Source organism: Homo sapiens, chromosome 1 (genome assembly GCF_000001405.40).
Source record: "Homo sapiens chromosome 1, GRCh38.p14 Primary Assembly".
Classification (NCBI taxonomy): Eukaryota; Metazoa; Chordata; class Mammalia; order Primates; family Hominidae; genus Homo; species Homo sapiens.
In genome coordinates, this window is record NC_000001.11 from 109,102,103 (window position 1) to 109,119,256 (window position 17,154).

Below are 17,154 nucleotides of genomic sequence, written 5' to 3' on the forward strand. Positions count from 1 at the left end.
CGGGTTCAAGCAATTCTTCTGTCTCAGCCTCCCAAATAGCTGGGACTACAGGCACGCACCACCACGCCCAGCTAATTTTGTATTTTTAGTAGAAACGGGGTTTCACCATGTTGCCCAGGCTGGTCTTGAACCCCTGACCTCAGATGATCCACCCACTTCAGCCTTCTAAAGTGCTGGGATTGTAATTCCAAAGTGCTGGGTGGCGTGAGCCACCGCGCCTGGCTGGAAGGGGACTCTTAACAGTTTGGCTTAAGGACCCTCCACCTGAGTGCCTGAAAGAAGCCCTTTCATATCTGAATTGCTCAGCAATTATGTTGTCAAACTTAATTAGAAATGGGAATTTATTGCACGATATTCTATTATTTTTCCTTTTTTTATTTTACTTTTTTTTTTTTTTAGACAGAGTTTCGCTCCTGTTGACCAGTCTGGAGTGCAGTGGCCCCATCTCAGCTCACTGCAACCTCCCCCTCTGGGGTTAAAGGGAGTCTCCTGCCTCAGCTTCCCAAGTAGCTGGAGTTACAGGCGCCCACCACCACACCCGGCTAATTTTTTGGTATTTTTAGTAGAGATGGGGTTTCACCATGTTGGCTAGACTGGTATGGAACTCCTGACATCAGGTGATCCACCTACCTCAGCCTCCGAAAGTGTTGGGATTGCAGGCATGAACCACTGTGCCTGGCTTGTTTTAATTCTTAATTTTTTTTTTTTTTCCCTTGGATGCAGTCTCACTCTGTCGCCCAGGCTGGAGTGCAGTGGCTCCGTCTCGGCTCACTGCAACCTCCACCTCCCGGGTTCAAGCGATTCTCCTGCCTCAGCCTCCCGAGTAGCTAGGATTACAGGCGTGTGCCACCACACCCAGCTAATTTTTGTATTTTTAGTAGAGACAAGGTTTCACCATGTTGGCCAGGCTGGTATCGAACTGGCTGGTCGCAAACTCCTGACCTTGTGATCTCCTGGTCTCAGCCTCCCAAAGTGCTGGGATTACAGGCATGAGCCACCGCGCCCAGCCAATTCTTAAATTCTTGATATTACAGAACTAAAGTGAAACTTATTAACATTTCACTCTTAAATATTTTATCGACAAATAAAATTCATGACCCAAAAAGCCCAAAACAAAACTAAAAACAGGGAAAAGCTTATAAAATTAAAAATGGTTCCCAGCATTAACAGCTGAACAGAGAATGTGATTTTAAAATTCTTAGCAGATGATGTTGTGTAGAAACTGAACACTTACAAATTATTTAAAAGCTGGAATCACTCACCAGAAACTACACAGTTGGATCATGGGAAAACAGCACAAAGGGGTTATTGAGGGAACCTACACTATTCTAGCTGCGCTCCGTACCCTTCTCAGAGGAAAGCCTGGCATTGATTAAATACTGGCCCAGACTGACACTAGCAGCAGAGCCCCTGATGGTACCCTGCCTATCAAGACCCTTCCACTGGGTTGGCAGTTTTGATCTGGGCCCCGGACATCCGGCGGATCTCATTAATGTTGGCGCCTTGGGGGCCGATTACACAGCCAATTAAGTTATCTGGAATGGTGAATTTGTGGGTGGTTTGAGTAGATTTTTGTTTGGTTGTTTTTTTTTTTTTTTTTTTTTGAGACGGAGTCTCGCTCAGTAGCCCAGGCTGGAGTGCAGTGGCGTGATCTGGGCTCACTGCAAGCTCTGCCTCCCGGGTTCACGCCAGTCTCCTGCCTCAGCCTCCCGAGTAGATTACAGGCGCCCGCCACTATGCCCGGCTAGTTTTTTTTTTTTTTTTTTTTTGTATTTTTAGTAGAGACGGGGTTTCACCATGTTAGCCGGGATGGTCTGGATCTCCTGACCTCGTGATCCGCCTCGGCCTCCCAAAGTGCTGGGATTACAGGCGTGAGCCACCGCGTCCAGCCTTGGTTGTTTTTTTTTTTTAGACGGAGTCCTGCTTTGTCACCTAGGTTGGAGTGCAGTGGCACAATCTCAGCTCACTGCAACCTCCGCCTCCCAGATTCAAGCGATTCTGCCTCAGCCTCCCAAGTAGCTGGGATTACAGGCGCCCTCCACTACACCCGGCTAATTTTTGTATTTTTGGTAGAGATGGGGTTTCGCCATGTTGGCCAGGCTGTTCTCGAATTCCTGACCTCAAGTGATCTGCCTGTCTCGGCCTCCTGAAGTGCTGGGATTACAGAAGTTAGCCACCGCGCCCCTCCATAGTTTGAGTAGATGTATCCAAACTTGCTTAGCCTTTCACCTCTGGAGAACTGGAGTCAATTCGGGTGAATCCGGTCCCGCCGTGCATCATGGCAAAGTGAGATTGTTGTCTTGCCACCTGGTTCAGCTTGGCCAGATCAAGCGGAGAAATGATGTGTTGTCCTTGAATCGAGTAGGCATCTAGAGGTGGTCCCTCCAGGTCACGGGTGCCTCGGGGGTAGCCCACAGCCTTGCTGCAACGATCTTGGCCGCCCGCGCAGATGACTGGGGACTTGGCCGGCATGGGCTGGTATGGAATGGTCATGACTCTCCCCTGGGAAGACTGGGAGAGCGTTTCCGGCATGATCAGGCAGATCTCTTTGACAAACCGATGGTGATGGCCCTCTCAGTGGAGTTGAGCAGTATATCCCCCACCACCTAGACCTGGGTACCATACTCTCGCGGATCTCTTTGATCTTAAATCTGCCTTTCCCAAACCTTTCTCTCTTTTTTAGCTTAGAAAACTACTTATTTAATTGTTTTGAGACAGGGTCTCACTCTGTTGCCCAGGCTGGAGCGCAGTGGCTCCATCATGGCTCACTGCAGGCTCAATCTCCCGGGCTCCAGTGTTCCTCATGCCTCAGCTAAAAGTGTTGGCATTACAAGCATGAGCCATCACACCTATTGTGCAATATTCTAAAAGGTTTGCCATTCTTGTCCAATCTTTTTTATGACACAGCAGGTCCCTGTGAGTGACTTGTAATTTTGGAAATCACTGAATACATCAGTTTTTAGGTACTGCAAACCCAAGCACCAGGTTTTTGAACCATGTTTATAAGAATCAGGGCTATATATCACAGCACGAATTGACACAAAGGAAAGGGAGTTGACTCCCAGGCAAGGACAAATAGCAGAGTTAGAGATTAACAGTGGCGAGTCAGGACCAGGGAGATGGAACCAAGGAAAAGTAAAGCCCAGCAAATGCCTAAACCCAGGACGGCTAAATCTCTTAAGTGTGACCTTAGCATAAATACTGATGTTATTTGGAGCTTCTGAAAATACAAGGTAGCTCATGTCCATTTTTGTTTCCTCAACACTTAGCTCAGTTCCTGGCACATAAAGGTTTGCTGGCAGTGTTGAATGGATGGCTCTGTATGGTTGGAGTGACTTCAGTTTACAAAATATGAATATCTGTATCCTACCAAAGACTGCTGTTGTGTCCTAAATCTTCATCAGCAAGATATGATTTTCCAAGTTGCAAATATACCCCAAAGGACTAGTTTCTACGAGATGGGTAATTTCCTTCCCGTGTTTTAAGAGTAGTCAAGTGGAGGCCGGGCGTGGTGGCTCACACCTGTAATCCCAGCACTTTGGGAGGCTGAGGTGGGTGGATCATGAGTCAGGAGTTCAAGACCACCCTGGCCAACATGGTGAAACCCTGTCTCTACTAATAATACAAAAATTAGCCAGGCGTGGTGGCGTGTGCCTGTAGTCCCTACTACTCAGGAGGCTGAGGCAGGAGAATCACTTGAACCCGGGAAGCAGAGGTTGCAGTGACCCGAGATCGTGCCATTGCACTCCAGCCTGGGCGACAGAGCGAGACTCTGTCTCAAAAAAAAAAAAAAAAAAAAAAGTGGTCAAGTGGCAATTTGTAATCTATGGATAACAGACACTTCAGACTTCATCTTGCACAAATCTATTTAATGGAAGTGGGCCGCAGTATGTTTCACTATAATTAGTTCAGGGATCTGTCAACACTAGGTGGAGAAGAAGCCACCATCTTTCTTTCGGGAGTAGCCTCCATTGGTGGCTGCAGTGTGAGGGGACACTGTGGAGAAAAGAGAAGAGGAAGTGGACTGAATTTCAGATCGTTGGCCTTTTCTAGGAAACTTTAAACATCAATACATTTGTAGGTACTGTGGAGAAGCTTCTCATAACAGCTGGGAAAACCGGCATATGGAGGACTGATGGGAGGTACTTATAGGTCTTCCACCCCCAGGTTTTTGCCCTTGCTGTAAATGTTTGTCTCCTAGACCTAAGGCTGAGCAAAGAGGCTCTGAAAAATTGAATTAATTTCCTAGCTCTATAGTCAGCATGTCCCCTGGTATTAATCTGGTACTTGCCAACTTAATCATTGCTTTCCAAGACCCACAGATATCCTTCATCTTCCCTACTGTCCAATCACCTTAAATCCCTGATTCATGGGTCCATTTAGAAAGACTCCCCCACTGCCCCATCTGCTTACCCAGTCCTCTAACCCTTACCTATGGATCCTTGGATGCTGTGGATGGACTCCTTTTTAGGGTTGATCCAGTGTCTGATGTTAGCCAGGAAAGTGATGGGTGGAGTGGGAGGGGTTAAAAATTCTCCAGGGAATTGGATCTTGGTTCTAGAAGAAGGCATAGGGAAGAAAAGTGGAGAGTGAAATCAATCAGAGAAAGGTGAGGAAGGCAAGGTAGTTGAATGTGATCTCAAGAATAAAGCAGCCAAAGACTCTTTTTACCTCTGTGGGATTAACCAAAGATTTTGTTTATACAGATGAGCACAATCTTGGGAGATTTCTGTTCATCTTAGACAGTGAAAATACAGAAACTATATTATAGACACAGATGTAAAAATACAGAAATTTGTATACAAATGAGTACCTAGTGATTATCATTTTCCAGGTGACATTTTACCTTATATGACTGGATGGCAGCATGTTTAGGCTGGAGAGGCTCTGCCTCTACCACTTACCTATAGGTATCCTGCGTGGTTTTCTGGTTTAACAGTATCTCACTTTTGTTCTTGAATGTCCCAGTGTGGTGGTTGTACAAGGCTGCTAAGCGGAAGTCCAGGTCATCCTTTGGTATCTACAGAAGTCAGTCCCCCCCAAGGTTAGCTCAGCCACCTGTGTCCCTGCTCTAGTCAGGTTCTATTGTGCTCTACTCTTCCCCAAAAGTATAGTGAAGGCTCTCTTGGGCCTGAAATCCACCAACTCCGTACACACTAAATTGTTGTATATGATAACTCTTGTTGATATGGAATTATCTTTGGGTTAGGTCTAGGGAGTGGTGAGCTCTCACTGGAGACTCAGGAATATTGTTCCTGATGTGGGCTTAATGAACTTTACCTCATTCATGTTTATATTCAGTCCTTGTTTTAGTTAGAGAATGAGAAGGTTTGTAAAATCATTTGCTCTAGATAACTGCCTAGAGCAAAACCTAAGCCTTCTGGCTTCCCAGAGGCCAGATAAATTGATTTTTGGCTTTGGATTTGGTAGGATCTTGGGTTAGAGACAAAAGGAAAAGTACTGAAGCAGTTAGGGACAGACTAAATTTCAAAAAGAATATTAAGGGCTGGGTGCAGTGGCTCATGCCTATAATCCCAGCACTTCGGGAGGCTGAAGTGGGAGGATCGCTTGAGGCCAGGAGTTTGAGATCAGCCTGAGCAACATATCGAGACCTCATCTCTTCAAAAAAAAAAATTAGCTGCATGTCATGGCACATGCCTATAGTTTCAGGAGGCAGAGGCAGGAGGATTGCCTGAGCCTGGGAGGTTCAGGCTACGGTAAACCATGATCAGGCCACAGCATTCCACCCTGGGTGACAGGAAAAAAAAAAAAAGCCCTAAACGGCTGCAAAGAGGAATAATATTTCAATGCTAGGTACCTCGGGATCAAAATAGTAGGCATCCCGCCTCATGGAAGTAATTGTGGGGGTTGAGTTGAGCCGACTCCAGGGTTCCTGCTGCTGAGCAAGGTGTGTTGGGTTCTTATATGGCAATTTCTGCAAAAGAGAAACCGTATCCAGGACAACCTGGTTATACGGGAAGCCTTGCTGATGTGGTTAGCTTCAGTAGCATCCCCTTATTCCATCCAGTTTTGTGTTTTTTGTTTTGTTTTATTTTTTGAGACAGAATCTCACTCTGTCATAGAAGCTGGAGTGCAGTGGCGAGATCTCGGCTCACTGCAACCTCTGTCTCTTGGGTTTAAGTGACTCTTCTGTCTCAGCCCCTCAAGTAGCTGGGATTACAGGCATGTGCCACTATGCCCGGCTAATTTTTGTATTTTTAGTAGAAACAGAGTTTCACCATGTTGGCCAGGCTGGCCTTCAACTCCTGGCCTCAAGTGATACACCTGTCTCAGCCTCCCAAAGTGCTCAGATTACAGGTATGAGCCATCATGCCCGGCCCCATCTAGTTTTATTTGAATCTCAGACATCTGCAAAGAGAAGAATGGTATGGGGCAAGACTCCCCAGGCTCTTGATCCTCCTATGTTTTCTTAATGAGAACTGACAGAAACAGGCCAGGAATATAGGAGAAGGTGTGGAGTGGGATGAGGGGAGTGAAGAGTTGGGAGCAGATAGGAAAAATGATGAGCTTAGGTTTAGATGTACTGAGTTTGAAGAAAAGGTGAGACATTCTAATGCAAATAACAGGTAGAAAATTGGAAGTGTAACTTGTTGGAGGAGAGCTCAGAAGTCTTGGTTGTCCACATGAAGTAGTAGCTGAAGCCTGCAAAATGGAGTCAGGCCAAAAGGGAAGAACGGGTTTGTGAGGATTGTACAGTATTATAACTGGGAGTGAGGAGGGCCCTAGAGAAGCAGTCAGAGACGAAATCAGGAGAATGCAATGTCTAAGCAGGTGAGAAAAAGATTCCAATAAGCAGGGAAGGGTCATTGATTGCAGGAATGGCAGAAAAAGTCCACTGGACATTAGTCCTCTCAATAAAACTCCACAGGCATGAATGTAAAAAGCATGTAACAGATTTCTTCATTATATGTAAAATGCCATATTCACCACTGTATCCCCAGTTCCTAGCACACTACCTAACACATGGTATTAAAAAATGCTTGAATCCACTATATCATTTGACTGAATTCCAGTGAGTGCAACTAACAACCTATTAGAACTCTCGCTGGGTGCAGTGTCTCACCCCTGTAATCCCAGCACTTTGGGAGGCTGAGGCGGGCGGATCACCTGAGGTCAGGAGTTTGAGACCAGCCTGACCAACATGATGAAACTCCATCTCTACTAAAATACAAAAATTAGCTGGGGGTAGTGGTGGGCGCCTGTAATCTCAGCTACTTGGGAGGCTGAGGAGGGAGAATCGCTTGAACCCAGGAGGTGGAGGTTGCAGTGAGCCGAGATCGCGCCACTGCACTCCAGCCTGGGCAACAAGAGTGGGACTCTGTCTCAAAAAAAATAGAACTCTCATTAGACCTATCCAACATTGTAATCCTCCTTCCCCACAATATGGCAAAGTGCTATGTGAGCCATACCTTTTTTTTTTTTTTTTTTTTTGAGACAGAGTCTCGCTCTGTCGCCCAGACTGGAGTACAGTGGCATGATCTCGGCTCACTGCAACCTCCGCCTCCTGGGTTCAAGCGATTCTCCAGCCTTAGCCTCCCGAATAGCTAGGATTACAGGCATGTGCCACCGCATCTGGCTAATTTTTGTATTTTTATTAGAGATGGGGCTTCACCACATTGGCCAGACTGGTCTCAAACTCCTGACCTCAGGTGATCCACCTGCCTCAGCCTCCCAAACTGCTGGAATTACAGGTATGAGCCACCGTGCCCCGCTGTGAGTCATACCTTAATTGAACAGTGTGTATCAGGCACTGTGCTATCACTGAGAAGAATGAAGTATGAAAGAAAGAAAGCTACAGGTATTTGATGCCAGCATAGGCTCAGTTGTCCTTTGATGTGGCCCTGAGCAGCACTCCTCCCACTCTCCTTGAAGACCACTTAAACCTCGTCATCTCTGTCAGCAGAAGGATGAGTCTGTCTTTCACTGAGAAAGTCCAGACTGTCAAGCATGAATGCCATCTTTACATCCACTTTCTTTCCATCTCAGGGAAAGGAAAGTCCCTTTTACTCAAGAATAACCCTTTCTCCCCAGACCCACCCTTCCCTGGTCTTCTGAGACCTGTACCATTCTGCATACGCTCTCTTCTGACCCCAGCCTCACTTCATTTCTTTGTCGTGGTCTAGCTACCAGCCTGTCACCTTCCCTACAGAACCAGACCTTTTCAGGAGTCAATATTTACTATCTCTACTTCCTCACTCACCATTCCCATACCCTCTTTAGCTCACTGCAGTCTGGCCTCTGCCTCAAGCACCCCCTAAAACTGCTCTTGCTAGTTATCAATGATCTCTGTGGCCAGGTCAGGTGGATCCTTTCCAGGCCTGATCTTATTTGAACTCAGCTGTTTCTGGCACCATAATGCTGATTCCCTCAAATGCCCTCACCAAGCTCTGTGGGCCCAGCTCCTCTGGGTTTTCCTCTTATTTCTGGCCCTTATCTCTCAGCTACTGTCTCAGCTCCACTTTCTCTCTGTCCCTTAGGCAGTGCTATTCTCCAAGGGTCTCATTTTTACTTTTCTTATGCTCACATCCACTGGATGAGCTGATTCCCTTCCATGGCTTCAACTACCATATGGGTACCATAGCTCATACGGATACACAGCTCAGTCATACATCTTCAATCCAGAACTCTCAATCCTGTTGCCTACTATTGACCTTCACTTAAATATACCACAGTCACTACAAAAACATCTACATAGTTGATGTTTCTCAACATCTTTCTCCCCAAACCTGCTTCCCCAGGATGCCCCATTTCAGTGAAACCTCAGAATTAAACCGTTAGGAACCCAGCAGCTATCCTAGACTCACCTCCTCTCTTGGGCCCATGTCCAGTCAGTCTCCAAGTCCTGTCAGTCCTGCCCTGTGCACCTTTCTCACATCTGCACCTGATCACCACCCCCTGTGGCACTGCTGTAGATCTGTTACTCTTCCTCCTGGAGATCACCTCACCTGCCTCCTAGCTGATCCCTCTTGTCTCACTCTCATCCTATCCAGTCTGCTGCCACTTGTGCTTCCTAAAACACCCATCTGATTGTGTCACTGTGGTACTTAAAATCCTGCTATGGGGCTGGGACCCATGGCTCATGCCTGTAATCTCAGCACTTTGGGAGGCCAAAGCAGGAGGATCACTTGAGGCTAGGAGTTTGAGACCAGCCTGGGCAACAAAGGAAGATCCTGGTTCTACAAAAAAATAAAATAAGAATTAGCCGGGTGTGGTGGCATCACCTGTAGTCCCAGCTACTTGGGAGGCTGAGGTGGGAGAATTGCTTGAGCCCAGGAGTTCGAGGCTGCAGTAAGCCAAGATTGCACCAGTGCACTCCAGCTGGGGTGACAGAGCAAGGAGACCCTGTCTCAAAAAAAAAAAAATATCCCACAATGATTCCTCACATCCCTAGGATGAAACCATAGCTAGCTAGCATGGTGTACACAGCACACCCAGCCAACCAAGGGCATCTCTCCAGCTCTGATTTCTGAGTGCTTCCATTGCACGCCTACACTCCAGCCCTTCTAGACTATTTGCAGTTCCCCAAATAAGCCATTCTCTCTCTCCTTTCCATGTATTTGCACCTGCTGCTTCCTTTGCCTTGCATATCTGGTTCCTGTTTCCTTCTTCCTAACTCACATTCTATCCACTCCCTCACCTGGCCTACCTAACTCATATTTGGACATCAAAATGCATCTGCTCTGTGAAGCTTTCCTTTAAGTTCCTGGTTCTCACGGCACCCTGCACACAACTCTGTCACAACATGTGCTATTGTGCAAGCATTTTTGCTATTGTCGGTCTCTCTTTACTACTAGAGTTCCTTGACAGCAGAAGCTACATCTAATTTATTTATATATCCTTGGCGTTTAGCAGAGTGTCTGGCTTATAGTAAATAAGTATTGAATAAATAAAAAGGGGCTCTCAATATTGTTATTAGACCACAATCACCACTTAATTCATCTTATTGTGCACCACTTCATATATCCCAATCACTTCTACCAGAAAAAAGATCATCTAAGTTCCGAAATCAGTGTCCACCATCATGCTAAACACACACATAACAAACATATTGTGGTGTTAACCAGAAGACAGAGACAGTGTGAACACAGATGTGTAAAGCATGACCTCTGGTGGCTTTCAGAGGATTCTCTCCCACTCCATATCTCATTTCTCTTCAGAGAACAGTCTTCCAAATAGGGAAATGGGTAGCTTGAAGGAACCTGGGCACTGCCATAACTTATACTCACAATTGATTTGAGCTGCCAGAGCCCCTTGTTCCTCTAGACTAGAACTCTACTTTCCTCTGCTCAAAAACGCCTCTGAAACGTTAGCCGACTTGAATATGGAGATAGGGAGGCAGGCAGAAAACAGACTTCCCTGGTACCCGACTGAGTGTCTTCACCAGAGTCCTTTATGTTACCATCTCTGCTCATCACACAGACAGAAAGAAGACTACCGGCGACCCTACTGGGAATCTGCGCAAGAAACCACAGTACCTTGGAAGCCCGCAGTTCTCCTAAGTAGGAATCATCGTTATCTAATGTAGGCTGCTGGAAAGGGTCCCGGGTGGGAGGCATGGCTAAATGCCTAACTCTTTTAAGAGGGATGGGAGGCCCGCTCAGCCGCAGCACAGCCTCACTGGCATAAGATCCCGGGTCCCAATTGTTTGGAGCGCTGGTTTCGGTTGCCAGGCAACTGCCCAGCCATCTATGACAGAGGAATTCCCTCAGAGGAGGGCGCCACCTGGCGGCTGACCACGGGAGGCCCCTGGGGAGGAAGCTCCGGGGACTGCAGAGGGAACGTTCCGCTGAGCGGGCCCGAGACTTGGAATTGCACTCCTGAGCCTCGGCGGAAAAGTGCTGGCTGCTCACCATCAGGACTTCTGCAAAAGACTTCAGTTGAGGAAAGAAGTCCTGAAAGATGACCCAGAAATTTCCTTCTCCCTCGCACCTAACAAAAGGCTTTCAAAGCCATGAGAGAATGAGGATGTCAAGAGACCAAAGAGGGCCGGGCGCGGTGGTTCACGCCTGTAATCTCAGCACTTTGGGAAGCGGAGGCGGGCGGATCGCTTAAGCCCAAGAGTTCGAGACCAGTCTGGGCAACATGGCGAAACCCCGTCTCTACAAAAAGTAGGAAAAAAATTAGCTGGGCTTGGTGGCACGCGCCCGTAGTCCCAGCTACTCGGGAGGCTAATCCAGGAGAATCTCTTGAACCCGGAAGGCGGAGGTTGCAGTTAGCCGAGATCGCGCCACTGCACTCCAGTGTGGGCGAGAGAGTGAGACCCTGTCTCAGAGAGAGAGAGAGAGAGAGAGAAAGAGAGAGAGAGAGAGAGAGAGAGAGAGAGAGAGAGAGAGAGAGAGAGAGAGGCCCACGTGCGGCGCTTGGGAAATTGCGGCTAAGGCAAACTCCTCGCTTAAACTCGGATCAACTACAGTGTCAGGGCTTCTCTTCTAGCCGGTTGTAAAAGCACGGATGGATTTGGCGGGATGTAAGATCTCCAGGAGTGGCCTTCGTAGGAGGGAACACGTACTGGGGCCTCTTCCAGGCGACGACGTCTGGAGGGTGATCTCTCCATCTTCTTTCTCTCGGTTCACACGCCACGTGTGCAACATCGGAGATGCTCATAAAATAACCCCTGGCCCGAAAGGGCAGTAGAAAACGGAAATTTGTTGGCTGGCTTGGAGGATGCTTCCACTGTGTTCTTCACACGAGCCCCGGGCCTGCCTGTTGGGCCGGTTGCGCACCCCGGGCGCGCGCTCTCCCGCGCCCACGCCGCGCGCACCAGCGGCGGCGGCTGCCATGGCGACCCGCAGGTGAGCTGCAGAGGCGCGCGTGGTCCCTGCCCCACCCGCGCGGAGCCAGAGAGGAGGCGGTTGTCAAGGCGACGTGGGTAGGAGGAGAGGACAGAGGGAGGAGGAAGGATGGGCGGTGTTGGCGTAGCCGCAGGGAGGTGACTGAAGCGAGCCTGGCCTCTTGCATCCTCCGCCTGTGTACCTCCCTCCCCTTTTTTTCCGCCTTCTGCCAGCAGAAGCAGCAGCCGCAGCACCTGAGCCGCTACTGCCGCTCACTCAGGACAACGCTATGGCTGAGCCTGGGCACAGCCACCATCTCTCCGCCAGAGTCAGGGGAAGAACTGAGAGGCGCATACCCCGGCTGTGGCGGCTGCTGCTCTGGGCTGGGACCGCCTTCCAGGTGACCCAGGGAACGGGACCGGAGCTTCATGCCTGCAAAGAGGTACTGCCGCCCCCCTACCCGATCCCGCTTTGGTCACAAAAGTCTTGGATCCAGGCGGAGACCTTGGGGACCCAGGCGCAGAGAGTTTCAGACGCCACGGAGTTTAGATTTCTTTGGGGATGAGGCGTGGGGGGAGGGAAGAGGAGCCAGTCTGGCGTCATGAGGAGGCCAGCACATTGGAGGACTCACGGATAGATCATCCTCACAGATTGGGATGCTGAGCTCAGCGAGAAAGGTCCCAGCCCCAAGAAGGGGAGCTACCTGGGTACCTGAACTCAGAATGAGGGAGGCAGACGAGTTATTTTCCAGTTAGGATGAACTCACCTTAAAAGTGGTTGACAAGAAAAGATTATGCACAGAGAAGCAAAATAGGAAGAGGAAAGAAGAGTAGTGGGAGAGGAAAGGAGTTAGGAAGGCCAGAAAAAAGTATCAGAGCGAAGTGGTTTTATCATGGCTACACAAAACGGAGTGTGAAGGTGGGAGATGTGCGAGAGGGATGATAGGATTCCAGCTCTCTAGTTCCTTGTTTATTAAACATCGGTTAGTGCAGACTGTAAAATGTGTCTCCTCCTTATAGCTTGGCCTCCCCGCAGCGTACTATGTTTAGTGTACCTGACAGTACACGACTCACCTTTTTGCAGATTTTGAGTTCTTCAATATCTTGTGTTCTGCCAACCTCTAGTCTCCTTCTCTGACTTAACATATGTCAAAGTCTTTTTCAAGGTATTTCCAATATGTTGGAAGCAGAATTCAGACAATAGGTAGTCAATCTCTTATAACCAAAAATAGCTTTTGAAAAGTCATCTTGGAGGAACATAAAAGGGCACTAGCAGCAACAAAACTAAGTCATTTCTATGTTATTGAAATAACAATATTTGGTTGTGCTCTGAGCAACTTTTTTAGAAACCATATGGCAGAGGCAACAATAAGATATTTACAAGAACTACGTTGGGGAAGGCAAAATAAAAGTTCTGTTATTTCTGTGAAATGTGAAGGACTTCATAAAAAGTCAAGCATCTAGCTCTGTAAATTTAATCCCAAATATCAAGCTTGACTAAGGTTTTGAGAGGTTAGAATATATATATAGATGTATTTTCTTTACTTTAAAAAATATATGTTTTAAAATAGAAATGAGGTTTCGATATACTGCCCCGGCCAGTCTCTAACTCCTGGGCTCAAGCGACTTCCCACCTCGGCCTCCCAAAGTGCTGGGATTATAAGAATGAGCCACTGCGCCCAGCCCAGAATATTTTTTATAAATTGTTAGTGTGAACTGATTGGCAACAACTCCATCCCATATGGAGATAAATTCTTATAAAGATGTTCTGTGTCTACAGCACAGCAGGTCATAAAGAAGTCAGGTGTGGGGGGGAGGATTTTTGTGTGAATAAAGATACTTGATTTTGAAGATTCATGAATATGACATAAGTGACCCCAGTGAGTGGGACTTTTGATAACCTTTATTAGCTCCAATGACAACCTGCCCTGGGCCATCTACATTTCCACCTAGCCGCATTATGACCTGTTTTAGAGATCGCAGGGAACAGTATGATCTTATCAGTGACTGGCTCACTGGCCTTGATGGCCTGTGGTCTAACCAACCAAAATAATGAGACCAAGAAAGCCCACTTGCCTAAGAATCAAACAAGGGAGTTTCCTGAGTGGAAGGTAAGAATCATACAGTTTAACTACCAATTCTTGTTGAGATCTTTGTCAACAATGGAAAATATGAGACATTTCAGAAATTAAGCACTTCTATTATCTTGGTTTGGAGGAAGGGAAGAATATTGATACTTGAGAACTCGAACTTGTGTACGAATTTTGCCTTTGGTCCTGTTTGAATAACCAATATTTGCCTAAGCAAAAGGTCTTGCCACAAAGTGTAAGCTTAAGGTAGTGGAAAGCTATGGAGCTCAACCTACCAGGGTTTCAGTCCTGTTACTTACCACGTGGTTTTTGGATTTGTAGAATGGGTATCAAAATAACACCTACCTCAGAAAGGATTGCTTTGAGTATTGAAATAGAAAATACATTGGAAACACAAAAGAGAGTTACCCACCCTCCTTCTCTGTTCAGCTTCTTTCCCATTAGATCCACACCCCATGCCAGATTGGAAATGGCTTAGGAGGCATGCCCATTTGCCACAGGCGTCAGCAAGTCCTGTTTACATTCTCCTTGAGCAAACAGTGGCCATTGAACACCCTCAACTCCAAAACAATCAGGGAGAGAATAAACCCATTATTATAGTATTCATTTGGCAATATGAACTGATCAAACAAGTTTGGGGGCTTCCAACCCCAAATGGTGAAAAACCAATTCAAGGTAGACCAGCTCTTCTCTGTTCTTTTTTTTTTTTTTTTTTTTTGGTGAGACAGAGTCTGGCTTTGTTGCCAGGCCAGGCTGGAGTGCAGTGGCATGATCTCGGCTCACTGCAGCTTCCACCTCCCAGGCTCAAGCAATTCTCCTGCCTCAGCCTCCCAAGTAGCTGGGATTACAGGCATGTGCAACCACACCCGGCTAATTTTTGTATTTTTAGTAGAGATGGGGTTTCATCATGTTGGCCAGGGTGGTCTTGAACTCCTGACCTCAGGTGATCCACCCGCCTTGGCCTCCCAGAGTGCTGGGACTGCAGGCGTGAGTCACTGTGCCCAGCCACTCTTCTCTGTTCTTAATCTTCATACGAATTTCTTGTGAGCTGATGTTGGGTGTTGATGGCAGGACTCTTATCAGGCCAAGGCTGACCCTAATGACAATAATATTGTTCCAGCCTTGTTCGTGAAAGCTGAGGCATCCCTCTGGATGTAATCAGGAAACGGAGAGGTTTAGCTTGAGGCCTAAACTGAAGTGGCAAAGTGGGAGTTCTAGACTGCTGGACATGTGCTGGGGCTTGGCATTCCTCTCACAGTTTTATAATAATCAGGGTCACAAATGGAACTAAACATCCTGTATGATATTCGTTTTCATGAATCGTTTCTTTAGCCAAGGCTAAGTGCTGACTGCGAGCCAAAGGAGCATTTCCCAAGGTGCAGTGAAGCAAATCAAACCAAAGAGGAGCAGAAAGCTGCCTTTAACACGCTCTACCTTATCCTGAGGCTCCAGGGCTAATTGGCCTCAAAGGGGTTCCCCAGTCTATATTGAAAAGCCCATGGGTTAGGAATCTAGCAGACATGGATTGGAATAAAATTTGTTGAATGAGTGATGCCATTTAGTAAGGATGCTACTTTGAGAAGTTAATTAACTTCTGTCAGCATCAAATTCCTGATCTGTGAAATGGGGATGGTAATACCTATCTCACAGGGCTGTTGTAGGAATTAAATTAAATAAAATAACATGTGAAGTGCCTAGTACATACCCTTGATATATCATAGGTACTTAATAAACGTTGGTAGGAAGAACAGTTAAGTACACAGATAATGACGTATAAATGACGTCATAAGATTAACATGTGGTAAACAATGCAGGAGTGGCAATATAGAGGATGATAGGAAAAGAAAGAAGAAAACTAATTCAGGGCGGGGCACAGTGGCTCACACCTGTAATCCCAGCACTTTGGGAGGCCGAGGCAGGTGGATCACCTGAGGTTGGGAGTTCAAAACCAGCCTGGCCAACATTGAAACCCTGTCTCTACTAAAAATACAAAATTAGCCAGGTGTGGTGGTGCATGCCTGTAATCCCAGCTACTTGGGAGACTGAGGCAGGAGAATCACTTGAACCTGGGAGGCGGAGGTTGCAGTGAACTGAGATTACGCCATTGTACTCCAGCCTGGGCGACAAGAATGAAACTCCGTCTCAAAAAAAAAAAGAAAGAAAGAAAGAAAGAAAATTAATTCAAACAGTTGGCACTTGACCTGCTTCTGTGATTGATAATCAGCAGCATTTCAGTAGGCAGAGATGGAGGAAGGGTGTTTTCTAGATAGAGGGAGGAGCTTGACGAAAGGTCCACATGTGGAAAATGCAAATGATCCTGGGACTTGCAAGCAGACCAGCTGGCTGAAATGTGCAATAGTGTGAGATACAAAGTTGATAAGGTTGAAAAATTCTAAACTAAGTGGAGAATCCCTGAAGGATTTCTGGCAGAGATAGCAGCCTAAGCAGAATGGATTAGCATGAATATAAAGTAAGCATGGTTGAGGTGGGCCAACAGATGAGAGCAGAGAGATGAGGCAAGGAGACCAATACTGAAGATATTACTGAAGTCAAGGAGGAGGTTAATAAAGGGACTGCACTGGGATGGGGGCAGTGGAATACATGGAAAGGCGTCTGTGTGAAAAACATGCTGACGGTGGAGGTTAGAGGATTTGGCAACTGATTGATGGTGTAGGGTGATGGTGACGGGCGGGTCAAGGATTTTTGTAAGGATTTTGGAGTGGGAGAATGGTAGGAGTTACTATCCAAAATGCAGAAAGAACAGCTTTAGGGAGCAGAGTGTTCCCTGTTCTTAGTTCTGATGTCCCTGGGATCAGCCCCTGTAGTCAGGGGAGAAAGTCCTGAGCCTTTGGCACGCTACTTCACTTTGTGAGCACAGTGTCTAGGCTTTTCTGTTTCCTCCTGTATTTGGTTCTTCTTTTTTTTTTTTTTTGAGACGGAGTCTCGCTCTGATGCCCAGGCTGAAGCACAATGGTGTGATCTCTGCTCACTGCAACCTCCGCCTTCTGGGCTCAAGCAATTCTCCTGCCTCAGCCTCCCAAGTAGCTGGGATTACAGGTGCCCGCCACCATGCCCAGCTAATTTTGTATTTTTATTAGAGATGGGATTTCATCATGTTGGCCAGGCTGGTCTTGAACTCCTGACCTCAGGCGATCTGCCCGCCTCGGCCTCCCAAAGTGCTGGCATTACAGGAGTGAGCCACCACACCTGGCCTAATTTTTTTTTTTTTTTGAGACAAGATCTGGCTCTACTCTGAAGGCTGGAATGTGGTGG

General features: G+C 47.1%; 2 protein-coding genes and 1 pseudogene across 14 annotated transcripts in view, besides 1 other annotated feature; 1 reads left to right on the top strand and 2 right to left on the bottom strand.

Annotated features, from left to right (window-relative positions):
- On the bottom strand, positions 1,146–2,666 carry LOC100420092 (poly(rC) binding protein 1 pseudogene; annotated as a pseudogene).
- On the bottom strand, positions 3,849–11,729 carry CFAP276 (cilia and flagella associated protein 276). Of its 8 annotated transcripts, none has more exons than NM_001122961.3 (5): positions 11,531–11,729; positions 5,819–5,935; positions 4,905–5,020; positions 4,433–4,557; positions 3,849–3,996 (listed from the first exon to the last, which is right to left on the bottom strand). In NM_001122961.3, exons 1-5 carry the CDS (start codon positions 11,573–11,575, stop codon positions 3,926–3,928), a joined length of 474 nt encoding a protein of 157 aa, NP_001116433.1. In that variant the 5' UTR covers positions 11,576–11,729; the 3' UTR covers positions 3,849–3,925. The 8 variants fall into 8 exon arrangements, 6 of the variants coding, with proteins under 6 accessions (NP_001116433.1, NP_001353129.1, NP_001231954.1 ...); NM_001366200.3 differs by having other exon boundaries at positions 5,819–5,965; NM_001245025.3 differs by lacking the exon at positions 11,531–11,729 and adding an exon at positions 10,497–10,645.
- Positions 11,765–11,834: a silencer, noted in NCBI's record as "silent region_1142". NCBI's record gives its function as "represses an Ori minimal core promoter by ATAC-STARR-seq in GM12878 lymphoblastoid cells {active_cell/tissue: GM12878}" and the evidence as "EXISTENCE:reporter gene assay evidence [ECO:0000049][PMID:35858748]".
- ELAPOR1 (endosome-lysosome associated apoptosis and autophagy regulator 1) overlaps positions 12,013–17,154 on the top strand; it is a 92,667-nt gene continuing 87,525 nt past the window's right edge. For all 6 annotated transcript variants that reach the window (XM_011541825.3, NM_020775.5, XM_011541827.3 and 3 more), the window contains exon 1: positions 12,013–12,234. In XM_011541825.3, coding sequence (XP_011540127.1) covers positions 12,082–12,234 — 153 coding nt within the window. In that variant the 5' untranslated portion in view covers positions 12,013–12,081. The remainder of the gene's footprint in view (positions 12,235–17,154) is intronic.

Bases quoted from the DNA above. Each gene is read 5' to 3' on its own strand.
- CFAP276 (XM_011540647.3), bottom strand. From the start codon at position 10,577: ATGCCTCCCACCCGGGACCCTTTCCAGCAGCCTACATTAGATAACGAT. The intron at 5,021-5,818 runs GTACCTAGCATT...TGACTTCTGTAG, and splicing joins CCTACTATTTTGATCCCGAG to ATACCAAAGGATGACCTGGA. The intron at 3,997-4,432 runs GTAAGGGTTAGA...TTTTCTCCACAG, and splicing joins CAGCATCCAAGGATCCATAG to TGTCCCCTCACACTGCAGCC.